Source organism: Homo sapiens, chromosome 12, assembly GCF_000001405.40.
Source record: "Homo sapiens chromosome 12, GRCh38.p14 Primary Assembly".
Classification (NCBI taxonomy): domain Eukaryota; kingdom Metazoa; phylum Chordata; class Mammalia; order Primates; family Hominidae; genus Homo; species Homo sapiens.
This window is the reverse complement of record NC_000012.12, coordinates 8,840,695-8,866,312: the sequence shown is the minus strand read 5'-3', so window position 1 is coordinate 8,866,312 and position 25,618 is coordinate 8,840,695. Positions and strand designations below refer to the sequence as shown.

The following is a 25,618-nucleotide window of genomic DNA, read 5'->3' as shown; positions in this document are numbered from 1 at the left end:
TTTTTTTTGAGATGGAGTCTTGCTCTGTCTCCCAGGCTGGAGTGCAGTGGCGCGATCTTGGCTCACTGCAAGCTCTGCCTCCTGGGTTCACGCCATTCTCCTGCCTCAGCCTCCCGAGTAGCTGGGACTACAGGCGCCCACCACTGTGCCCGGCTAATTTTTTGTATTTTTAGTAGAGATGGGGTTTCACCGTGGTCTCGATCTCCTGACCTCGTGATCCACCTGCCTCGGCCTCCCAAAGTGCTGGGATTACAGGCGTGAGCCACCACACCTGGCCTAAACTTGGTGCTTTTAACATTTTTACCAAACATGCAACCTATTAAAAGATGTTCATTCTTTCAGGTCTGATTTACATGTTATATCTTCAGTGAAATTGGCTAATTTCAACAAATCAGAATATAATCTTCATGAGAACAAGAAATATATTTTCTTAGTTATTTCTGTAGCCTCATCAAAGTGATTTGGACATGGTAGATATTTAATATTTTCAGAATACATAGATTAATGACTACTCTCTTCATTATAATCTAAAATAATTTTTTATGATTTGAGTTTATCATACAATTCTACCCCTCTGTTTTTTCCATACTGCCACACCACTCATTCAATTTCCCAATTTCCCCTTACCCCTAACCTAGATAAAGGAAACAGTCTCCTGATCTCTTCAAGTCCAATGTTTCTCCTCTCTAAATTATCTCACACACCAAGTGGCTGATTAATCTTTCTGAAACAAAGTTAAAATTGTTGTTGTTGTTGTTGTGTTGTTGTTGTTGAGACGGAGTTTTAACTCTTGTTGCCCAGGCTGGAGTGCAATGGCGCCATCTCGGCTCACCGCAACCTCTGCCTCCCGGGTTCAAGCGATTCTCCTGCCTCAGCCTCCCAGGTAGCTGGGATTACAGGCACCCGCCACCACGCCTGGCTAATTTTGTATTTTTAGTAGAGATGGGGTTTCTCCATGTTGGTCAGGCTGGTCTCGAACTCCCGACCTCAGGTGATCCGCCTGCCTCGGCCTCCCAAAGCACTGGGATTACAGGCATGAGCTGCTGTGTCCAGCCTAAAAAATTTTTGTTTGTTGTTGTTTTTGTTTGTTTTTGTTTATTGTTGTTGTTGACACAGAGTGCTGCTTTGTCACTCAGGCTGGAGTGCAGTGGCACGATCTCAGCTCACTGCAACCTCTGCCTTCCGGGTTCAAGCAATTCTTCTGCCTCAGCCTCCCGAGTAGCTGGGACTACAGGAACATGTCACCACATCCAGCTAATTTTTGTATCTTTAGTAGAGATGGGGCCACATCCAGCTAATTTTTGTATTTTAGTAGAGATGGGGTTTCACCATGTTGACCAGGCTGATCTTGAACTCCTGACCTCCAGTGATCCAACCGCCTCAGGCTGCCAAAGTGCTGGGATTATAGGCGTGAGTCACTGTGCCCGGCTAAGACTTTTCTTATCCCTCAAGCTGATATGAGCTTTCTCTCCCATTTTGAAATTCGATATGTTGTACCTTTTGCATGTTTCTTATATTATAAACCAGATCCTCTTTGTAATACATAGACTTTGTCCTCGCTTTTCTTCTAGACTGTAAACTTTTTAGAGTTCAGACTATATCTTATTAGCTTTCTAATACCTGCAATAGCAGAAGAAGGATAGAAGGATATGTGCCCATGAATCTTGGTGTTATCTTTACAGACCCCATAATGGTCTTCCTAGTTTATTAATATGTACATTTAGCCATAATTATATATATCCTACTTGCATGTAAAACATGGACCTCATGATGTTGCTTTTTTTTTTTTTTTTTTTTTGGAGACAGAGTTTCACTCTTGTCACCCAGACTGGAGTGCAATGGCATGATCTCAGCTCACTGCAACCTCTGCCTCCTGGGTTCAAGCGATTCTCCTGTCTCAGCCTCCTAAGTAGCTGGGATTACAGGCACCTGCCATCGCACCTGGCTAATTTTTGTATTTTTAGTAGAGATGGGGTTTCATCATGTTGGCCAGACTGGTCTCGAACTCCTGACCTCAGGTGATCCGCCTGCCTCGGCCTCTCAAAGTGCTGCGATGACAGGCATGAGCCACCATGCCCGGCCCCAATGTTTCACATTCAACAAAAAAAAAAAGAAAATTAAATACATCTGGTACTATTAATGTGCTCTTATAACCCATTTTATGAATACTTCCATATATTGTTCACAGGCTTTTCCTCTCTCTAAGCCCCTGGACCGAGAAGGCAAGGACAATATGTTTTCCTCTATCTCCACACAAGATCTAATTCTACCTGATAAGTGGCAGTGGGAGAACAGGCTGTTTACCTGAGTAGAAGAGAAGCCCCCATATGCATTGTGTTGCTTGGCCAACCAAGCCACTATGCTAGTGGCCTTCGCTATCTCCTTTTGAGTCAGGCTGGGCTTGGTAAGCTGGGCCAACAATGCATATGCTGTGAGTTCCACATCTACAGCCGCAGGCTCAGACCAAGGGCTGGCGTTCGATGATGGAGTAGGTTTCTGGCTCCAGTAAATGGATTCTCCTATGGAAAAAGAAACATAACTAGGATGTCCTTAGAAGGAACTGGCTTTCCCACATTCACTTTGTAAATGCAGCATCTTAGAGCAGAGTAAGTACCAACTGAGAATTAAACAGAGTAGAAAAAAAATTTCTTAGATTTAGCTGATTAATTGACCTTGATGTAAATGCAAGGATGCATGTGCGTGCCTGTGTGTAAAGCTAGAAGCATCGATAAATGTTCCTGCCTCCAGCAATTACATGAAAACCACCCTTGTTAATTTATCAGTTTTGATGCTAATGGAAATAGGTAAATAGAAGCTTCTTATAAGAATCTCTGTGTTTGGGGGCAATTTTTGTTTGCTTACAGTTTTATGAATTTTTCAGCATTTATTTCATTTAATCAAAGATTTAGGCCGGGTGCGGTGGCTCACACCTGTAATCCAGCACTTTGGGAGGCCGAGGCGGGTGGATCACCTGAGGTCGGGAGTTTGAGACCAGCCTGACCAACATGGAGAAACCCTAACTCTACTAAAAATACAAAATTAGCCAGGCGTGGTGGCGCGTGCCTCTAATCCCAGCTACTTGGGAGGCTGAGGCAGGAGAATCATTTGAACCCGGGAGGTGGAGGTTGCGGTGAACTGAGATCACGCCAATGCACTCCAACCTGGGCAACAAAACAAGAGCGAAACCCAGTCTCAAAAAAAAAAAAAAGATTTAACATTTTAAGTAGAATAAAAATGGCAGAGTATATGAAAGAATTCTGAGAAACCATGAAGAAATGCTAATGAGGCCAACTATATGAAACATGCTTAGAAGGCAGTCCAATAGAATGAGACCAAAAGAAACCTCTGTGACAGCCAAGATGACAGATAATGGATAACTTGAAGAAAAATAAATAAGAAATGAGAAGACTGTACGTTAGAAGACTAATTAAACAGAATTTTAGAGATAATAAGTAACCACAGAAGGGCAATCTAATTGGAAGAACGTAACAGGAAACGTGAGCTTGCAATACAAGATAATGGAAAAGAGATCATCACAATAAACCAATACACGGTGGAACAGGTGTATTTAACCCATTGTCTCGGACACACATTTCATGACTGGAGTTGCTTAGACACAAGAGAAAAAACTACCTGACCCCCTGTGAGAGGACAGCTCAGCCATGACGCTCATATAAATGAAGGCTGAGACTGCACTTCTGCCTGGAAGAATAATTTTAAATACACAGCCAGATAAATGAAATGCATTAAAATTTTATTTACAAGATCTGTCATACTTCAAATAGTATTCTAAATATATTTAAAGTGGTCCAGGCCAGGTGCAATGGCTCACGCTTGTAATTCAGCACTTTGGAAGACCAAGAGGGGCGGATCACTTGAGGTCAGGATTCTGAGACCAGCCTGGCCAACATGGTGAAACCCCCTCTCTACTAAAAATACAAAGATTAGCCAGTGTGGTGGCGGGCACCTGTAATCCCAGCTACTCGGGAGGCTGAGGCAGGAGAATCACTTGAACCCAGGAGGCAAAGGTTGCAGTGAGCCAAGATTGCACCACTGCACTCCAGCCTGGGTGACAGAGCAAGACACCGTCTCAAAAAAATAAAAAGTAAAATAAAAAATTTAAAAAATATTTAAAGTGGTCCTACATCAAAGCACTTTCAAAGATCTCCAAAAGGGTGATTCCACAATGCCAATATATTTTCCGACTAGCTTCTTCAATGTAGTTTCTCTTCACATTAAAAGTATAAAAATGTGGCCAGGCATGGTGGCTCACGCCTGTAATCCCAGCACTTTGGGAGGCCGAGGCAGGTGGATCACCTGAGGTCAAGAATTCGAGACCACCCTGGTCAACAGGGCGAAACCCCTTCTCTACTAAAAATACAAAAATTAGCTGTGCATGATGGCACACACCTGTAATCCCATCTACTCGGGAGGCTGAGGCAGGAGAGTTGCTTGATCCTGGGAGGCAGAGGTTGCAGTGAGCTGAGATCACGCCATTGCACTCCAGCTTGGGCAAGAAGAGAGAAACTCGGGCGTGGTGGCTCATGCCTGTAATACCAGCACTTTGGGAGGCCGAGGCGGGTGGATCATGAGGTCAGGAGATCGAGACCATCCTGGCTAACACGGTGAAACCCCGTCTCTACTAAAAATACAAAAAATTCGCCGGGCGTGGTGGTGGGCGCCTGTAGTCCCAGCTACTGGGGAGGCTGAGGCAGGAGAATGGCGTGAACCCGGGAGGCGGAACTTGGAGTGAGCCGAGATCACGCCACTGCACTCCAGCCTGGGCAACAGAGCAAGACTCCGTCTCAAAAAGAAAAGAAAAAAAAGTATAAAAATGCCCTTTGAGCACTTGCGTGTGTTTCTCACAAACCTCCCAACAATAATTTGATGACTTAATAACTGTTACTAAAATGAATCCTAGAGTACATGTGTGGGACAGAGGTTACTAGGGAGATTATAGATAACTCACAGCTTATGTTCACAATTTCAAAGAACTCTCAACAGGACCAACATACCTGAGATGATAGCCTGTTGATCTAACTGTTTAAGGAGAATGTTTCTGATGTCCATTTCCCCAGCCAGGGAGAAAATGTAAGCCAACAGGGCCTGTGTGTAGAGGTTGGTCGTGGAGGTGGCCGAATTCTTGAGACACCGTAGACCCTGACTCACCATTGGGTCCTAAAAAGTGAAGATGAAGACTATAACTTATAAGGCATTCCTTTAAAAATGGCAAGTAATCAGGAAATCATCTTATCCTTCTTGACCTTAAAAGGGTGACTAGAGACAAAGATGGGTGAATGTCTCTAGGAATACGCATGAGAAGGAGGGTATCAAGAGCAGGAGCCAGGAGAACTTACATCTACATCCTTTCCCATCTCCAGCAATGCAGCTGTGACATACGCAGTCAAGGAGACCTCATCATCAACACCACCCTAGAGGCAAACAGGGAGGCAGTGAGTCAGGGCAGCAGGCAGCAGCTGCAAGAATTATGTGCAGATTGCAAAACAGCCTCCCCTCTGAATAGATGAATAATTTTTAAAAAGAAAAAAGAAAAGAAAGCTCTTTTTTCCACAGGCTTTCTGCAGCTCCAAGCCTCCAGGACACACAAAGAGGGAACAGTTTGGACTTCATAACTGCACAGCCTTAAACAGCCTGCAGGAGGCAGCATGTGGACTTCAGCTGAGTGGGTATTTAAGAAACCCAAGAGAAGGAGTTAGGAAGGGTAAGAGCTTTAAAGAAGGGAGGAATAAGGAGAGAATCTGCCGCATCACCGCATCTGAGCCTCCTCACATGCAGCTCCCCTCAAGCAGCACAATACCCAGCCCTTCTCCAGCAGAGATTAGGTGAGACCTTCCCTGCTTATCGCCTTTCCCAGAAAGAGCTAAGCAAATTTTTAAAAATATCTACTCAAATTATTATCCTCATTCTATAAATAAGAAAACAAACACTTAACAAGATTAAATAGCTTGTGGTCACGCACAGTGGTTTATGCCTATTATCCCAGCTTGAGGCCAAGTCGGTGGGGAGGATCGCTTGAGCTCAGGAGTTTGAGGCCAGCCTGGGCAACACGGTAAAACCCCAACTCTACAAAACCTGCAAAAATTAGCCAGGTGTAGTGGCACGTGGATCCGTGGTCCCAGCTATTCAGGAAGCTAAAGTAGGAGGATCATCTGAGCCCGGGGAGGTCAAGGCTGCAGTGAGCCATGATCGTGCCACTGCACTTCAGCCTGGGTGACAGAGTGAGACCCTGTCTCAAAAAAATGAATAAGTAAATAAATAAAAAGATTAAATAGCTTGCTCACGGTTACATGGCTCATCTGCAGCAGGACTGGAATTTGAACCCAGGACATTTAACTCTGGAGCTCATGTGCCACACCACTAACCTTGGCTACACAGAGGATGGATTTCTCAATGGACTGGCCTGCTCTCAAAAGAAAGTAGGAAGAGGCTGGGCACGCATAGGTCACGCTTGTAATCCCAGCACTTTGGGAGGTCAAGGCGGGTGGATCACTTGAGGCCAGGAGTTCAAGACCAGCCTGGCCAAACATGGTGAAACCCCATCTCTACTAAAAATACAAAAAGTAGCCAGGCATGGTGGCACATGCCTGTAGTCCCAGCTGCTCAGGAGGCTGAGATCACTTGAACCCAGGAGGTAGAGGTTGCAGTGAGCTGGGATTGCGCAACTACACTCCAGCCTGTACAACAGAGTAAGACTCTTGTCTCAAGAAAAAAAGAAAAGAAAAAAAAGGGAAAGAAGGAAGAATACCTCTGAGATCTTGCTCTAGTCAAGTCCTTTATCTTAGTAGAGACAGGGTTTCAGACTGGTCTCTAATTCCTGACCTCATGATCCACTCGCCTCAGCCTCCCAGAATGCTGGGATTACAAGCATGAGCCACTGCGCCTGGCCCCCACGCATATTTCATACAGTGTATAAGAGAAGAAGAAGACAAAAACTTAGGGGAGACTAATAAGATCCTGCAGAGGAAGACTAATGAATCCTATAAATAGATTTTTTTTTTAACACTCAAGATTTTTAATCCTTGCCCTGGAATAGCAATGTAAGTGATCTCTCTAGAAAAGTTTATACAAGTCTTTCTTGCACTGAGTGTGTCCTGAATTGAACAAGTTATCCTGCAGGATCTACGCCTCGCCCTCTGCTTGGGACAGGTACAGACAAGGTAGTGAACAGAAGAAAGCAGTGCCTCTGGAGTGCAACTGCCTGGTTCAAATCTCAGTCCTGCCACTTATTAGCATGCACCTTGGGCAATTTACTTAGTCTCCATGGCTTAGTTTCTTCATCTGTAAAATGGGATTAATAATGGCATACCAATACCTAGCTCATTGATTTGTTGTAAACATGAAATAATATCAAATAAACCACGTGCCTAGAATAGTGCCCAATAGAGTAAACTTCTTACAAAAGACGTTGGGCTGCCTACTAGTCCTCACCACAGGAAATGGCTTTCCCAGATGGATTTGGTGACACAGTAAGAGGCCCAGAGATCTTTTAGTCCAGTAGTATCAAATTTCAGTGTGTATCAGAATAATCAGGAGGGCTTGTCAAAACACAAATTTCTGGCCCACCCTCCCAGAGTTTCTCATTCAGTAGGTGTGGGCTGGGAGTCAGAATCTGCGTTTCCAACAAGTTCCCATGTGATGCCAATGCTCCTGATCTGGGAACTATGCTTTGAGAACCATGTTCCAGTCCACATTCTCTTTTTCTTTTTGAGGCAGGGTCTCACTCGGTCACCCAGGTTGGGGTGCAGTGGTGCAATCACGGCTCACTGCAGGCTTGACCTCCTGGGTTCAAGTGATCCTCCAACCTCAACCACCCAAGTAGCTGGGACTACAGGCATGCACTAACAAGCCTGATTAATTTTTCATATTTTTTTTGTAGAGATGGGGTTTCACCATGTTGCCCAGGGTGGTCTCAAACTCCTGGGCCCAAACGATCTGCCCGCCTCGGCCTCCCAAAGTGCTGGGATTACAGGCATGAGCCACTGCACCCAGGCTTCATCTGTATTCTCATTCTACAGACATGAAAACTGAGGCCCAGACCAGCTAAGCATTTTGATCACGGTCACCCAGAGCCACAGTGGAGATCAGGAGAAAACTGATTCCCAGGCCAGTGCTCTTTTGCTTCTACTCGGTCAGAGGTGTGGGGTCCTTCGAGACAGTGGTTGGCTGCAGGCTCCTGGACAGATCCGCACCTTCATAGCTGTGTGAAGGAGATTTCCCACGTTGGCATAGCAGCCACTGGGGAGCTGGTTTCCTGCCATCCACTTGAGAGCATCCTGGATGTTCTTGGGATCAATGAAGATGAATTTCTGAGCTTGGCCAAAGCATTTTGTGACAAACGCTGTCAGCCTACATGGGTAAAGAGGAAAATATGGCATGAAGAGGAATTTCCAGGTGAGGGTGCAATCATTTCTTCATTTATTTGGGTGTATACTTCCAGAAGGGGAGCTGAGGGAACATATGCCATAGCAGGCCTAGAAAAGAGAGGCATTAATGGGCACCAATGAGGACAAGAACAGGGGAGGCACAAGCTCAGGAAGATCGAGGGACTTGACCATCCATGAGGGTGAAATAAACAGTATTAAAGAGGTAGAAGACTGAGTGCAAGAAGGAAAGGGGTTAAGGGGAGAGGTAGTGGAATAGTTCCAGAGGGCTCAGGAATTATGCTCTGGAGTACAGAACTCATTGGGAATTGGGTGATATTACCATGTGTTTCCATTTCCATCTCGCTCCCCAAAGGCACTGTATGAGCCATTGCTGTGTTTGTACATCAGCTCCTTCTGGTACCCTGGGAAGCCAAATGTGGTTTTAGATCACAGCGACAACTTCAGAAAACACCCCCATGCCGTTCAAGGATATGGGACACTTGAGGGGCTGGAATTCCCTGTATCATCAATCTGTCATAGGGCCTAGTGGAGGAGAGTGTTCAAGAAAGAAAGACTGAACCAACTTACCTATTTCCAGGAAACCCACTGCCCGAGACCTGATCTCCTCCGTCAGCAGCCCTGCCTTCTCCAGGTACTGCAAGACATAGATGATGGGAGCAAACAAGACCATGTTCTGCTCGCCACAGCCACTGGGCATCTGCACCAGACCATCCAGGTTCTGCAGGGCTGTGCCCATAATGTCTCCTGGGATCCAAAAGGAGAGAGAGAAGGTAGGGGTACAGAGAAGAAGGGACCCTCTAAGAGTTATCATCATTCACTGAACAAACACGTATTAGCTATCATTTAATAAGTACCTACTATGGGCCGGGCGTGGTGGCTCACGCCTGTAATTCCAGCAGTATGGGAGGCCGAGGAGGGTGGATCACCTGAGGTCAGGAGTTCGAGACCAGCCTGACCAACATGGACAAACCCTGTCTCTACTAAAAATACAAAAAAAAAAAAAAAAAAAGTACCTACTGTGTGTCCTGGGAAGACCACAGTAAATCAAACTCGGTCTCTACCCTCAAAAAAACTCACAGAGGAGCAAACCATTACAACACATTACAATTTTTATTCATTATAAACAATTTTAATACAGTACTACAATGTCATACTGGATATGTACGAGGTGCTAGGGGACACGGAGAGGCACATAAGCTATCTAAGAGAGTTCAGGGCTTTTAAGAAGACATGTCACTGAGCTGATGAGTGATGTGACAAAACTTATAACACTTAGGATCAATCTCTTAAGCTCCTCTACCACTGCATGTACGTTCCTCACCCTCCAAATCACCAAGTTTCTCTAAAACACAGTTCTGACACTCTTTTCCAAGTTGTCACTGACCCCTTCATATACTTCCCAAGCCAGTGAACCTGACATAAGTGACTCATTAACATCTGCATTGTAGCCAACAAGCTCAATTCAATCTATAAATGTGTCCTGAATGTCAACTATGTTGCAGGAACTGTACTAGGAACACAAAAGAAAAAGATGTGGCCCTTCCTCTTCAGGAGCCCCCAACACAGTGTGGAAGACAGATATAGACAGTGAACTCTAATACAATAAGATAAGTGCTATGTCAGACTTACGAATAAAATAGACAAAACAGAGACACTGTGACTGCAAAGGATCTCAATAGAGGGTGAGGGAGTAAAGAAAGAGCCTAACATTCATAGGGCTCCTACTACATGCTAGATATTGTGCTGGGGACTTTATATTGCATTTAATCTTTACACCAGTCTGAGAGGTAGGTTATTATCACTGTTTTACAGAAGAGGAAAGAAGGCCCAGAACTGTTCACTAACTTGTTCAGGGTCACATGGCTATTAAATGACAGGTTAGATATGATTTCTACGTTCATGCTTTTCAACCCACTTCCTCCCTTGCCCCAAACAGTAAGTGTGCTGCCTATTGTAAATATGGTTGTATCTTCCCTAAACTATACCCAAATTCCTCAGTTTTGAAAATGGTTGCTGCAAATATTCTGTTTTCCCTTCACCCAATTTATAGACTGTCTAAACCTAAAATCAAGCATCAGCGACCTTACCTTCTTCCTACCCTGACTCTCTTCCATTTTTAACTAGAGTACAAGTCTAATCCCATCTGTACTGTTGCCTACACTGTATTTCCCTCCTATATAAAATACGCTCTTTTTCCTTCATCACTTGTTATTAGTTACACTCTCCGGATAGGTCCGTATGTCCCGCCCCACTCCACACCTTTGCAGCCTCCATTCGCCTTTTCCTTTCTGAGTCAAGAATCTCTAACTGCTTACCCAGAACCGTAACATAAGCCTTGGTCGAGTCAGGAACAATGTCCACTGGGAGCTCCAGGGAGACAGATTCAGATGCCACCTTTCCTGTGAGATGCAGAAAAAAAGGTGACACAATAGAAGATGGGGAATGGCAGGGGTTCTCAAGACAAAATTTTAGAAGAACTTTCTATAATCCAGGGATTTCTGTACTCGGTGCTTTCTCTGGGATGCAGAAAGCACTGGGTACTATTCATAGTGATCTTGCTGAAAATAAATTCCACAGAGAGTCATCATCGTGCTGCACACTTTCTCTTCTTCCTCCTGCCTCCCAGTTAATCAGCCCCATGAGGAATGGCACTTCAGACTCTCCTATTCCTTCTGGTACTATGCATTCCTCCTTTTGCCTATGAAAATCTCCTGCTGCCGGGTGCAGTGGCTCACGCCTGTAATCCCAGCACTTTGGGAGGCCAAGGCAGGAGGATCACAAGGTCAGGAGTTCGAGACCAGCCTGGCCAATATGGTGAAACCCCATCTCTACTAAAAATACAAAAATTAGCCAGGCATGGTGGCATGTACCTGTAGTCCCAGCTACTCAGGAGACTAAGGCAGTAGAATCACTTGAACCCGGGAGGCAGAGGTTGCAATGAGCTGAAATCGTGCCACTGCAATCCAGCCTGGACGACGGAGCGAGACTCCGTCTCAAAAAAAAAAAAAAAATGAAAAGAAAATCTCCTGCCCTCTAAGGGAATTCTCACCACCAATCCTGCTCTGAGTCCACCCACCTTTTGGGCACAGCAATGAGCTGTGTGTCTTCTCCACCAGGACTCCCTCAGGCTGCGATGAAGAGAGACACAGATAAAAACAACAAAGATGAACATCAGGAGGGATGGCACTAAAGGAAAGGGAAGGGAGGCCCCTCGCTGTGCCCCCAGGGCTTCCCTCAGAACTGCAGACAAGAGCTTCTCACTGAAGCTCAGAAGAACTCTGCGTCAACCCAAGGATGGGCCCTTTCTGTAAAGTTCTTTCTGGGCAAGTGCTAGAGCCAAAGACACATTTAGGCAACTTCTAAGAGGCAAGATTGACAATGGGCTTCATGATGGGACGAAAAAGGCAGCTATTGATGAAGACAGACATTTTAATTAGGTAAACTAACATTTGTTGAGTGCCTATGAGGTGCCGGGTTTTAGGTGCTTTCATAGGCCGTGGGTGTGGATTAGGCAAATGTTCAAGGGGCCAGGGAAGGAGAAAGTTGAAGCTGCCTGGTTGGACTGGAGTATGGTTGCTGTGAGAGACTAACTCACAGCAAGACGAGATGCTGAGCATCCCTCGGTTGGTTGCTGTCTCTACCTCTGAAGAAAACTCACTTTGACGAGAACTGGCTTGATGAGCGTGTCACTTCGGCCCTTTTGGGGAACAAACCCCTTCTGGCCCCCACATGGTTCATTGCTGTCCAGAATCTTTGTACTAATAGTAAAGTTAATGTGACCTGAGAGAAAGAAGAAGGGAAGCCATTAGCCCTATTGCCAGAGGTACCAGTGAGGTCCATTCCCATTTGGATCAGCATTTCTGAAACTTTAATGGGGATCTTGCAACAGTGCAAACTCTGCTGCCATAGACCTGGGGTGGGGCCCATATTCTGCATTTCTAACAAGCTCCCAGGTGATGCCAGAGAGGCTAGTCCAGTGTGGTAGGTAACCTCTAAGGGCCCTCAGAGATCCCTGCATCCTGATATTTACATCCATTGAGTGTGAGCTGGATTGAGTGACTCGCTTCTGTTAAAGAGAACAGGGTGAAAGTAATGACTCTTCTGGGATTAGGTTACAAAAAAGACTGCAGCTTCCATCTTGGGTGCACCCCTTTTCTCAAACTGCTTGCTCTGGGGAAGACAGCTGTTGTGTGATGAGGCAGCCCAGCAGAGAGATTCATGTGATGAGATACTGAGTGAGGCCCCTAGCCAAAAGCTGAGGTCAAGAACTGTGTCCTTCAGTCTAGCAGCCTGTAAGGATCAGAGACTTTGGGATGAGCTTGAAAAATCAATCCTCTCCTAGTCGAGTCTTCAGATGAAACCAGAGTCCTGACTGACAGCTTGATTGCAACCTCATGAGATACCTTGAGCCAGAGGTACCCAGCTAAGCTGCACCCAGATTAATGACCCATAGAATCTGTTTGATAATGTTTGTCCTTTTATGACACTTAAGTTTTACAATAATTTGTCAAGCAACATGAGATAACTCATACATATGAAAATCAAACTTTGAGTTGCAAGGATTTAATCTATGAGTGACTGACATCCCATAGGGTTGGGGGTGAGGATTAAACAAGTTAAAGGTGCAGTGACTCATTCTTGTAATCCCAGTACTTTGGAAGGGTGAGGCGGGAGAATCACTTGAACCCAGGAGTTTGAGAACAGCCTGGGCAACAGAGCAAGACCGCTTCTCTGCCAACTGAATTAGCCAGGCATGGTGGTGGCATGAGCCTATAGTCCCAGCTACTCCGGAGGCCTAGGTGAGAGGATCGCTTGAGCCTGGGAGGTTGAGGCTGCAGTGAGCAATGACCACACCACTGTACTCCAGCTTAGGTGACAGAGTAAGATCTTGTCTCTCTAAAAAAAAATAAAAGGCCAGGCGCAGCGGCTCACGCCTGTAATCCCAGCACTTTGGGAGGCCGAGGCAGGCAGGTCACCTGAGGTCAGGAGTTTGAGACCAGCCTGGCCAACATGGCAAAACCCCACCTCTACTAAAAGTACAAAAATTAGCCGGGTAGGGTGGCACGCGACTGTAATCCTAGCTACTTGGGAGGCTTGGCAGGAGAATCACTTGAACCCAGGAGGTGGAGGTTGCAGTAAGCACAGATTGCACCACTGCACTCCAGCCTGCGCAACAGAGCGAGACTTCCTCTCAAAAATAAATAAATAAAATAAAAATTAATTAGTCAATCAATTTAATGAGTTAATATATGTAAAGCAGTTAGAATAGTGCCTGGCCCAGGGACTCTTATAGTAAGTCCTTGATTAGTTACATGACCATGTATTCCTTGTCCAGCTATAAATATTAAAAGCTCTCCCTTTCACACTCAAAATATTCCGGTTTGAACAAATTTGTTTGGTCACCTATCAAAGAGTGTTTGTGTATTGACTTATAACAGCCTTAGGAGGGAGAAAAATAGTGGAAAATGGAGGAGGAAGCAAAGCAGATGTGGCAGAGGAAAAGACTGAGTGCTCAGTCACTGGTCTTCTGCTGCTGGCTTTCCTCGCCCGTCTACCACTTCCCTCTCTTACCCAATTTGACAGCTGTGATGTTCCAGTGGTGGGTTTTTGCGTCATCAGCACAGAGACAACTGGAGGTCTGAGAATCTGCCCATGATTCTAGCTGGTACTCATGCGATTTAGCCAGGTCAGTCTGAACCTACGGAGGATGTTTAAGAGACAAAGGGTACAAACAAAGGAGGTAGTGCATAGAGGCCTGGGGAAACCTGGGGGCTGAGACGCCGACATCTCCTCTCTTTCCCAGGGAAAATTGGGATGCTTCCAATTTAGAGACAAACTTATGGGGGAGGTGTGATTCCAGGGCTGACACCTGATTCCTGTATCCCCAGCTCTCACCCTGATGCAATCCTTTAGGTAATTGAAGATGGTGGCAGTAAGACGAAAGGATTCCCCACGGACTACTGAGTAAGGGAGAGTCAGGTCAACAAAGAACGGCTTGAAAGCAGTTAGTCCAACAGTGGGTGAAAGCCCGAAGCCTCTTGACTGGGAAGTGCAGAAACTCATCGCCTTCCACTCGGTGATGGCGTCAGGAACTGTGACGTGGACCGCCTCCTTCCCCGAGTTACTGTGAAAACACAAGGACCAACATGAGGCAGAGGTAGCGTGGGGCAAGGAGAACATTTGTGAATTAAGCCACAAATTCGGTGGGGTGTGCTGGCTTACACTTGTAATCCCAGCTCTTTGAGAGGCTGAGGTGAGCAGATAGCTTCAGCCCAGCAGTTTGAGGCCAGCCTGGGAAACATAGCAAGACCCTATTTCTACCAAAAATTTAAAAATTAGCCAGGTGTGGTGGTGCATGCCTATAGTCCCAGCTACTTAGGAGGCTGAGGCAGGAGGATTGCTTGAGCCCAGGAGTTTGAGGCTGCAGTGAGCTATGATTGCACCACTGCACTCCAGCCTGGGTGACAGGGCAAGACCCTGTCCAAAAAAAAAAAGCTACAAATTCATCTGCAGAAGTAAAATTGTTATTGTTATTGTATGGGGAGAAGTAAAGAGGCAACTGAACAGGTGAGTCTCAGTGTGAGTGAGGCTGCACTCATACGGAGGAGGGGGACTATGGTGGGGAGTCGGGGTGGGCATCTCTGTGCAAGCACATCTGACAGAGAGGCTGGTGCCCTCTGAGTCTGAGGATGTGTGGTCTCAGGGCTTGTCAAAATGGATATGCAAGCAGTGAGCAAAAATTGATGTCAATATATACCTTTAAATGTGTGTGGTTCTGTAGTGAGAACACAGGGCCTGCAATGTGTGAGTGTGGAATTGTGTGGATTTGTTTTGAGTGGTTGTATATGAATGCATGAAGAATTCAGGTAGGCCGGGCGCAGTGGCTCACACCTGTAATCCCAACACTTTGGGAGGCCAAGGCGGGTGGATCACTTGAGGCCAGGAGTTCAAGACTAGCCTGGCCAACATAGCAAAACCCTGCCTCTACTAAAAATACAAAACTTAGCCAGGTGTGGTGGCATGTGCCTATAGTCCCAGCTACTTGGGAGGCTGAGGCACAAGAATTGCTTGAACCTAGGAGGTTGAGGCCTACAGTGAGCCAAAATCATGCCACTGCACTCCAGCCTGGGTGACAGAGCAAGACTCTGTCTTAAAAATAAAAAGAAAAAAAGAATTCCGGAAAATAAATAAATTCCCACACCCCATCAAGCTTTCTTTGCTTAAGATTTAGATCCATTAGGAATGCGTCTGATTCTGAGTTTTCTACAGGCTCTACATTGCAGAATCTTACTGTTTTTTTTCTGGGTTTGTTGTTGTCGTTGTCGTTGTTGATTTTGAGAAGGGTTTTGCTCTGTCACCCAAGCAGGAGTGAAGCAATGTGATCTTGCTTCACTGCAGCCTCCACCTCCCAGACTCAAGTGATCCTTCCACCTCAGCCTTCCAAGTAGGACACAACTACCATCTGGCTATTTTTTTAATTTCTTTTGTAGAGACAGAAGCTCATTATGTTGCCCAGGCTGGTCTTGAACTCCTGGTCTCAAGTGATCCTCCCTCCTAAGCCTCCCAAAGTGTTGGGATTACAGGCGTGAGCCATGCACCTGGCCCTTTACTGTACTTTTGAGTCATCACTTACCCAATAGGAAACAGATCCCAGAGCCAGGTCTCTGGGAAGTACTGGCGGACCTGAGAATCCTCTGCTTGATGTAAAGGAGTTGATGACTCAAAAGCCTCTGGATGACCACCGCCTGCTGATGAAATTGAGAATACGAAAACTTTAGGAAACAGGAGACTTCTTGTTGTGACATAAATTGGGATGGAGGGATTACTAGAAAGAAATTTAGAGGGAAGCAGAGAACATCCAGTCAGAGGCAAGGAGGAAGGACCAAAGAGGAACTAACTAGTCACAAAGGCCATCGAGGGAAGTGATAGCCAAGGAGGTTTGGCCGGGGAATGGATACATAAGCTTCAGGCTTCAAAAGCTCTCCCCAGAGAGAGAACACTTGGGAAACTGTCCTGCATCTGTGACCCACAACCCATTAGCATTCTCGGGCTAGAGGCTCAGTGCAAGAACAGGAGGCAAGAGGAAATCTGCAGAGTTCCAGGACTGTTAACATCTCAGAGAATCCACAGACCACAGAGGTGGCTTACCACCCATAGCAGTGCTGTATTCTGGAGATCTGTGACTGCAATCTACTGGCTTCTTGATTTTGGCATTGGACAGTATTTTCAGGCCCACGTCCTGATAGGCATCAGAGAAATAAGTATTAAGGTGGTCCCTTCCCCAACTACAAGGGCTACTGCCCAGGAATTCCACCATCAAAGAGTTGAAACAAAACATTCTTTTTGAATTAATGGTGAACCTGGGTGTTCTTACCTGAAACTCAGCCACTGAGGCTGGTTGGCTTCTGTTCCAGCTAGCATGAAAGGCTTTCAGTTAAACTTATTTCATCATTACATACATGTAATGGTTCTGCCAAATATTATTCGCTATGTCCTTACTATTTGACTTACGCTGTAAACATGCTGAGGGTAGGGACCATATCAGCGTACTCAATTCAACAAAAATACAATGAGCCTTATGAAGGGTCAGGCATTAGAGAGAATACAAAGATGAACAAGACCTAGTTCCTGACCTCAGGGACCTCCTGGTCAGACTTGGGTCACACAGCATCCCAAATCCTGCTCATAGAATAGGTGCAAATTATTTTTTATAATAATGATAAGAGACCTCTGGTCTACCTTCTCTAATTTTCCCTCCTGATTGATCTCATGGAAATCAGTGTTTGAGGACAACAAAAAGAGGAAGACTAGGTTGGACATCTTCTTCAAGCATAAGGGCCAACAGAGGCGACCTTACACGTCAGAAGCTTCTTTCAAGATTTTGTTCCCATCAGTGCCCATATGAGTCTCTCTGCTTTCTTAGATATGAACTTTCCTTTGCCCATTCCCACCACCATCTTTCCCATAAGAACAAAATGGGTAAGAAGACCTACCCGGAAAAAGCTGAAAAGGTCCGTGCCTTCAGAGAACGAGGGCCTCCAGATAATGGAACGCTGGCTCGAATGCCCTTGGGGCATTGGGTCAATGAGGGGCTGAGGAAAGTCCCATGGGCCAGACACTGGACACTGATCATACTCAGCCACTTGATAGGGGTAGTGACCATACCAGAATGGAAACATCCCATAGACCTGGGACAAGAGGGGGAGAGGAAATAAAGCATTGATATAGTGATATCAGTTGAGAAACTTCTCTCAGATTCTGGTGCTCAGTTCACTACTCCTGTATCATTTCTCTTTATTACTTCAGAATTATTTTTATATTCATTCTGTCATAATTACCTTTCTCACTGTCTAAAACTTTAACCTCTATCTCACCTATTTTTTCATAATCCTATCCCCTATTTCGTTCTCTTTCTTGTTTTTTTTTTGAGACGGAGTCTTGCTCTGTCGCCCAGATTGAAGTGCAGTGGGACGATCTCGGCTCACTGCAACCTCTGCCTCCCGGGTTCACGCAATTCTCCTGCCTCAGCCTCCTGAGTAGTTGGGATTACAGGCATGCGCCACCATGCCTGGCTAATTTTTGTATTTTTAGTAGAGACAGGGTTTCACCATGTTGGTCAGGCTGGTCTTGAACCCCAGACCTCAGGTGATCTGCCTGCCTTGGTCTCCTAAAGTTCTGGGATTACAGGCTCATTCTCTTTTCTTGTCTCTGCATTCATACTAACCATGCCTTTCTCTTATCCTTTCTTTTTTTGTTTTTGTTTTTTTTTTTTTGTTTTTGAGACAGAGTTTTGCTCTTGTTGCCCAGGCTGGAGGGCAATGATACAACCTCCGCCTCCCAGGTTCAAGTGATTCTCCTGCCTCAGCCTCCCCAGGATTACAGGCATGGGCCCATGCCCAGTTAATTTTTTTTTTTTTTTTCTGGATTTTTAGTAGAGACAGAGTTTCTCCATGTTGGTCAGGCTGGTCTCGAACTCCCGACCTCAGGTGATCTGCCAGCCTCGGCCTCACAAAGCACTGGGATTACAGGCGTGAGCCACCGTGCCCAGCCCTCTTACACTTTCTAACTTCATTTTCACACCAGCCTTTTTACCGCCTTATGGCAGTGCATTATTTCCCTAAGACTTTCTCTCCCCTGCCTGAAACCTACCTCTTAATTGTCTTCTCCATCAACTCCCTCCTCCCACTCTGTCAGCAGACAGTTACTCACAGAGCGGTTGCTCAGCTCTCTGTCTGGCCTAAGCAGTAAGACACTCTCATCCACCGCCCGGAGCGCACACAGGGATCCGGGAGCTGCCTGCAGCTGCAGCTCCACTTCTGCTCCTGGAAGCTGCTGGGAGGGGGAGAAGCCAAGGGAAACCTGGGGAAGGGAAAGGTATAACTTGGGGATCAGGTCAGCCTGGAAAGGAAGGGAAACAACATAATTTGGGTCATCAGCAAATATGCCCCAGCTATGACATCCAACCCATTCTTTCACTTTTGTACTTATCTTTCTTTGTAAAGTCTAGCTCTTCAGGACGTGTATGCCGTGATAGAGTTGGGAAACGTGAGCAGCACAGTAGAAGGATAGAGAAAGTTTAGAAGACAAAAAGTAGAGAGAACATGTGGAATAACTATATAGAACATGTGGCTTCCCAGTATGGCTTTTTTTTTTTTTTTTTTTAATAGAGACAGGGTCATGCCTGTAATCCCAGCACATTGGGAGGCCAAGGCAGGTGGATGACCTGAGGTCAGGAGTTCAAGACCAGCCTGGCTAACATGGTGAAACCCCGTCTCTACTAAAAATACAAAAAAAAAAAAAAAAAAAAAAGCCAGGCATGGTGGTGCATACTTGTAATCCCAGCTACTCGGGAGTCTGAGGCAAGAGAATCACTTGAACCCAGGAGGCAGAGGTTGCAGTGAGCCGAGATCGCACCATTGCACTCCAGCCTGGGCAACAAGAGGAAAGCTCTGTCTATAAAAAATAAAAAAAATAGACAGGGTCTCGCTCTGCAGCCTTGAACTCCTGGGCTCAAGCGATACACCTGCTTCAGCCTTCCGACTAGCTGGGACTACAGGTATGCATCACCACACTCAACTAATTTTTTTTTTTTTTTTTGAGACAGAGTCTCACTCTGTCACTCAGGCTGGAGTGTAATGGTGTGTTCTTTGCTCACTGCAACCTCCGTCTCCTGGGTTCATGCAATTCTCCTGCCTCAGCCTCCCAAGTAGCTGGGATTGCAGGCATCCACCACCATGCTTGGCTAATTTTTGTATTTTTAGTAGAGACACGGTTTCACCAGGCTGGTCTTGAACTCCTAGCATCAGGTGATCCACCCACCTCGGCCTCCCAAAGTGCTGCACACCCAGCTAATTAAAAATTTTTTTGTACAGACAGGATCTTGCTATGTTGTCCAGGCTGGTCTTGAACCCTTGACCTAAAGAAATCCCTCTGCCTTGGCCTCCCAAAGCACTGGGATTACAGGAGTGAGCCACTGCACCTCAGCCAGCATGACTTCTTAAAATAAAAAGTAGGAGAGAGATGGATTTCAACACAAACCCCAAACACTAAAGATATAAATATAATACAACATCCAACGTCAACACTATCTTCTTTCCCTGACTTGTCTTGTTTCCAACCGCAGCACACACAAGATCTTTCTCTATGCCCAACTTTTATCTTCACCCTTCTCCGCTATCATTTTACCTGATTGTCAAAGCACATCTCGACTGAGAACTGAATTTTGTCAGCTACAACACCTCCACTGGGAAAAATGGCATAGATCACCAGGGAAGGATCAGGGGCCAGTCTCGAAGTGAAGGTCAGTGAGAGAGAGAAGGAGGCTTTCAGTCCTGAAAGAGAAGAGGGAATATACAGGAAAATCAGAATGCACATTCACCTGCCAACGGCATCTAACCATATGTACTTTTCACTGAGCCAGTGCAGGCACCATGGTGCAAGTTACTTCTCATTTTTCTCTTCTCCTGTGATAACTGTTAGTGCTCCAATTCCATTACTTCTGTGGATAAGAATTTTTTTATTTTATTTTATTTTATTTTATTTATTTTTTTTTTTTTTTGAGACGGAGTCTCGCTCTGTCGCCCAGGCTGGAGCGCAGTGGCATGATCTCGGCTCACTGCAAGCTCCGCCTCCCGGGTTCACGCCATTCTCCTGCCTCAGCCTCCCGAGTAGCTGGGACTACAGGGGCCCGCCCCGACGTCCGGCTAATTTTTTTTTGTATTTTTAGTAGAGACGGGGTTTCACCATGTTAGCCAAGATGGTCTCGATCTCCCGACATCGTGATCCGCCCACCTCGGCCTCCCAAAGTGCTGGGATTACAGGCATGAGCCACCGCGCCTGGCCAAGAATTGTTTTCTGGAATTTAAAAATATCCTGTTTGCTTCCGGGAAAAGCATGTACACTCACCTTTCTTCTTAGAGTTCAGGTGTTTCTGCCCCTCCATCACCAAACTTCCTTTCCCTATTAACTAAAGAAGAAAAGAAAAGAATCAACTGCACAGAAGTTACAGTAATTTCACCTTGGACCAACTTCCAGAGCATCTCTGCATCCCTTCATGAGGAGAGGTTCCTTTCACAGTTCAGAGTCCGGGTCAATACCTCACCCAGCATCCACTAGCTTGACAAATGCAGGATGCTGCCAACGGGTCCTGGTGGCTCCTCCTGCAGTTGGAGGTCTGGCTGAGAACCACGCAGGTGGATGGGAGGAGTCTGACAGCATAGAAATTGTTCCTCACCATAGATAACTGTCTGCCATTTCTTGAAGATCTCCAAATTTTATTTTCTTATAATCTTTGTAACAGAAAGTCAGCGAAAATCTATCCTCATAAGTGTTTTTTAATTACAGCTCAATTTAAAATTCAGTGGAAATAATTTCATCCTAAACCACCCTGAGCCCTTCTGACATTGAACCCTCTAGAGGAGAAATCTCCTCTTCTAACTCCCCCTTCCCGTCCACTCTCACTTGAAACAGAACTCGGTGATCTTGTTTGCAAGCAGGCTCTCATCCCACGCTCCTGCAGGGCTCCAAGGTCGGTTCCTTGGACGCCTGCCCAGCATTAGCCATTCCACGTGGCTCGGCCCTAACTTCACTTTTGTCCTACACCTCCCCACACTTCGGTCCTGAAGACAGAGCCCGCTTTATCACTGGACTTGTTATTTTCCACCTATCTTTTCTCTTTTCGTTGTATTAGGATGATTTTTTTTTTTTCACTTAACGACAACACTGAAACCATGGAAGCTACTGCAATGATCCAGAGGGGAGAAAGTCTCTCATAGACTGACAGGAGGATAACGGAACAAAGAGGCTCCGAGCCATCAAACCTGAGGTTTCCATTCTACTTCCTGACTGTCACCAAGGTGACAGGAAAGCTGCTTATCCTTATACATTGCTTTCAGGCTACCAAGTTATGATTTTATTTCCCCAATGAGGCTGCTATCGATGTGAATTTAACCCCATATCATCTATTTGATAATATTGACCAATGGAACACAGAATGAAATGTATCCTGGCTGGGCTCGGTGGCTCATGCCTGCAGTCCCAGCACTTTGGGAGGCCAAGGTGGGCAGATCACCTGAGGTCAGGAGTTCAAGACCAGCCTGGCCAACATGGCGAAACCCTGTCTCATATAAATTAAAAAAAAAAAAAAAGTATCCTGAGTCCCATCCCTCCCCACTCTCCCTCCCAACCACCCAGCTGGTTTTGTTTTTGTTTTTGTTTTTTTTGGTCCTGGCCAGCACTATTTTCTCAGGTAATTCCTCATTTTATTTTCCCACACAATTTTCCTGTGTTCCTGCTCAGAATCTCTTTCTTCCCCCAATGTTTTCCATCTCTTACACCTATACTGGGCCATGCAGTATCTCATAGCCACATAGGAATATTGAATACTTGAGGCCGGGCGCGGTGGCTCATGCCTGTAATCCCAGCACTCTGGGAGACTGAGGCAGGTGGATCACGAGGTCAGGAGATCGAGACCATCCTAGTTAACATGGTGAAACCCCGTCTCTACTAAAAATACAAAAAAAATTAGCTGGGCGTGGTGGCGGGCGCCTGTAGTCCCAGCTACTTGGGAGGCTGAGACAGGAGAATGGCGTGAACCTGGGAGGTGGAGCTTGCAGTGAGCCAAGAACACACCACTGCACTCCAGCCTGGGCAACTGAGCGAGACTGTGTCTCAAAAAAAAAAAAAAAGAAAAAAAAAGGAATATTGAATACTTGAAATGTGCTCAGTCCAAACTGAGATACGCTTTAAGTGTAAAATACATACTGAGTTTCAAAGACACCGTTGAAACAAGAATGTAAAATATCTATTAAAACTTTTTATATGGCTTTCGTGTTAAAATGTTAATATTTTGGATATAATGGGTTAAATAAAAAATACATTTAAAATTAATGTCAACTGTTCTTTTACTTTTTTAGTGTGGCTTTAAAATTGTTTTTAATTAGATGTGCATCTGCAATTCAGATAGCCTAGGTGCACCCTCTGGCTGACTCTTCTCATTCTCTTTCCTTCCCAGCATACTCTCACCCGTCCCCGTTTCCCGGTCTCACATAGTAGGAGAAGCTGATCTCTTGGTCAGGGCTTGCATCGGCCGGGTCGATGTAATAATCCACCAGCACTTCCTGGGGCTGGCCACATTTCAAGGGGCCGTTTAGCCGGTGGATGCCAAGGAAGCTGCGGGTTGTGCTGTAGAAGGGTCGCAGGTGCAGGTAGGCATTTTGGTAGTAACGTGGCACTTGTTCCGGATTATATACTAAGTCTTCCATTTGAAACTTTCCCTGAGAATAAAAGAGAGAGAGAGAATTTTAGCATGTGCTCCAACCATGGAAACCCCACGGACTTGTTACGGTTTTCAAATAGAGCTCTTTCTCTCAAATCTTCACTGCCTGAGAATGGCATGTGGGTATTTCATTAGCGGTCCAGCCAAGGATGGATAAAGAATCCATAAACGTAGCTGTGTACAGCAATATTTTGGTATGTAGGAGAGCGACAGAAGGGCTGAATTATAGTTACTAAATGAGAGGAAATTGTGGGTGATGTATCTTCACAGATATTCCTGGGATAGATGAACGTGACTTAGATTATATAGAAATCAAAGATTATATTTCAGGGATAAGAAAACTAGGCACAGAAGACACTAAGATTGAAAAATAATTATTTCTGAGTAACTGAGTCATGCCTAGAGTAAAGAAATAGTCAAATTAGCCACAAGGCAAGTAGTATGTGTTTGCTTAAGTCCTGAGGTTGAACGATCTCATTAATGGCTCCAATTCCTCACACGCACCCCGCCCCCTCCGAGATCAGCATCCTTGAGCATGTGGTCTTCCAGTACCCTCCTAGTCTGTGCCCACTGTTCGATTTGTTGGGAAAGGGGTGTTAACATATGCAACAGGGGCCGGGCGCGGTGGCTCACGCCTGTAATCCCAGCACTTTGGGAGGCCAAGGCGGGCGGATCACGAGGTCAGGAGATCGAGACCATCCTGGCTAACACAGTGAAACCCCATCTCTACTAAAAAATACAAAAAATTAGCCGGGCGTGGTGGCAGGCGCCTGTAGTCCCAGCTACTCGGGGAGGCTGAGGCAGGAGAATGGCGTGAACCGGGGAGGCGGAGCTTGCAGTGAGCCGAGATCACGCCACTGCACTCCAGCCTGGGTGACAGAGTGAGACTCTGTCTCAAAAAAAAAAAAAAGAAAAAAACATATGCAATATACAGAGGTTTGGAAAAGCCCTGAACATCAGCTTTTGCACTTGCACCTCATCACTGCCATAAGAATATACCTGGGCTAGCTGGCTCCTGCATGAGAGGCATGCGGAGCAGCAGCTTATGGCCAGCCGATCTGCAGACAGTTCTGGAAATCGAAATCAGCAGAGCTGCCTGACTGAATGCCCCAGATGCACAAGCAGTGAATGCTTTCTGCTGCACGATACTGAAGTTTGTAGCTGTTTGATAAGAAGCATTGTTGTGGCAGTTGATAATTGATACTTATAAGTTATCTAGAATCTAGAGTTCTCTTGTTTGCTGTTTTTATTAAGTAATGAGGGGATGGGAAGGGGAAAGAGAAAGAAAAAGACTCTGAGTCACCTATTCCTCCCTGCTCTAACTTCATATATAGATAGGATCAGATAGAGATGGGGGTAAGTTAAAAGATGTATTAGTAGAAATAGTAGTTTTCATCCAAGTAAGGACTATTTATTTGATTGATATTAAAAACAGAAAGCATCTAAGGAAAACTTTTTGTCAACGGGAGAGCAGGACTTGTGAGTGAGAAAGATGTAATTCCAAGCAGAGGGGAGAATAGGAAACAGGAAAATTCTGAAGTTTTCCTTCAGGGAAGCCTTCCTTTCTAGGAAGCTGGTCCTCCGTCCATGCTTACCTCCAGAGAAACGTCTGTCCCATTCCAACCGGATGTCTCCAAGGTAAAGGGAGCTAGGCCATTGTTATCAGTAACCAGGGTCTGGTTGAAGGTTCCATTTGTGCCATAAATCACCAGAAACACTAGATGGTTCTTGAGGAAGGAGTCATCATGGCCCCTAACTCTTATCTGAAGGACAAAGATCATTACGGATTAGAATTAGGTTTGGAGTAAGCTTGAGTATGAGGTAAAGTGAAATATTAGGTTGGTGCAAACTAATTGTGGTTTTTGGCACTAAAAGTAATAACAGAATTTCTAAGAATACATTTCAGGAAAGAGTCCTGAAAAAGATAAATGTGATTCAAGCTTTTGAACTAGGATCTGTGAGGAACCGAAAAACAAACAGAAGTAACAGCCCAGAGCAGAGCTAGATTTGCCCGGTGGCTAATGAAGCTTCAGGGCTCTTCATATGCACAGGCTCCTTCAAAGGTTCTGCACGTTGTTTTGCTTTCTTTTTTCTTTCCTTCCTTCCTTCCTTCCTTCCGTCCTTCCTTCCTTCCTTCCTTCCTTCCTTCCTTCTTTCCTTCCTTCTTTCCTTCCTTCCTTCCTTCTTTCCTTCCTTTCTTCCTTCCTTTCTTTCTTTTTTTTTTTGAGATGGAGTCTCAGTCTGTCGCCCAGGCTGGAGTGCAGTGGGACGAGCTCAGCTCACTGCAACCTCTACCTCCTGGGTTCAAGCGATTCTCCTGCCTCAGCCTCCCAAGTAGTGGGACTATAGGCCCGTGCCACCATACCTGGCTAATTTTTGTATTTTTAGCAGGGACGGGTTTTCACCATGTTGGTCAGGCTGGTTTCGAACTCCTGAC

At 45.6% G+C, this 25,618-nt stretch overlaps 1 protein-coding gene across 9 annotated transcripts in view; it reads right to left on the bottom strand.

Moving 5' to 3' along the window:
- Positions 1-25,618, bottom strand: part of A2ML1 (alpha-2-macroglobulin like 1) — a 64,839-nt gene that overhangs the window by 21,147 nt on the left and 18,074 nt on the right. For 3 of the 9 annotated variants that reach the window (XR_931275.2, XM_011520566.3, XM_011520567.3), the window contains exons 11-29: positions 24,777-24,944; positions 22,952-23,179; positions 20,811-20,871; positions 20,091-20,236; positions 18,615-18,803; positions 17,399-17,593; positions 16,554-16,644; positions 16,039-16,153; positions 14,301-14,529; positions 13,977-14,103; positions 12,064-12,185; positions 11,482-11,533; positions 10,721-10,804; positions 8,973-9,149; positions 8,725-8,806; positions 8,211-8,367; positions 5,358-5,432; positions 5,016-5,178; positions 2,305-2,519 (exon numbers count right to left, since the gene is read on the bottom strand). Coding sequence is in view for 7 of the 9 variants with exons in the window: in XM_011520566.3 (XP_011518868.1) it covers positions 2,305-2,519; positions 5,016-5,178; positions 5,358-5,432; positions 8,211-8,367; positions 8,725-8,806; positions 8,973-9,149; positions 10,721-10,804; positions 11,482-11,533; positions 12,064-12,185; positions 13,977-14,103; positions 14,301-14,529; positions 16,039-16,153; positions 16,554-16,644; positions 17,399-17,593; positions 18,615-18,803; positions 20,091-20,236; positions 20,811-20,871; positions 22,952-23,179; positions 24,777-24,944 (2,676 nt within the window). In the remaining 2 variants the exon portion in view is untranslated. Of the gene's footprint in view, positions 1-2,304; positions 2,520-5,015; positions 5,179-5,357; positions 5,433-8,210; positions 8,368-8,724; positions 8,807-8,972; positions 9,150-10,720; positions 10,805-11,481; positions 11,534-12,063; positions 12,186-13,976; positions 14,104-14,300; positions 14,530-16,038; positions 16,154-16,553; positions 16,645-17,398; positions 17,594-18,614; positions 18,804-20,090; positions 20,237-20,810; positions 20,872-21,138; positions 21,310-22,951; positions 23,180-24,776; positions 24,945-25,618 lie in introns of those variants that run through there. The other 6 variants (XR_001748594.2, NM_144670.6, XM_017018870.2 and 3 more) reach the window with 4 other exon arrangements.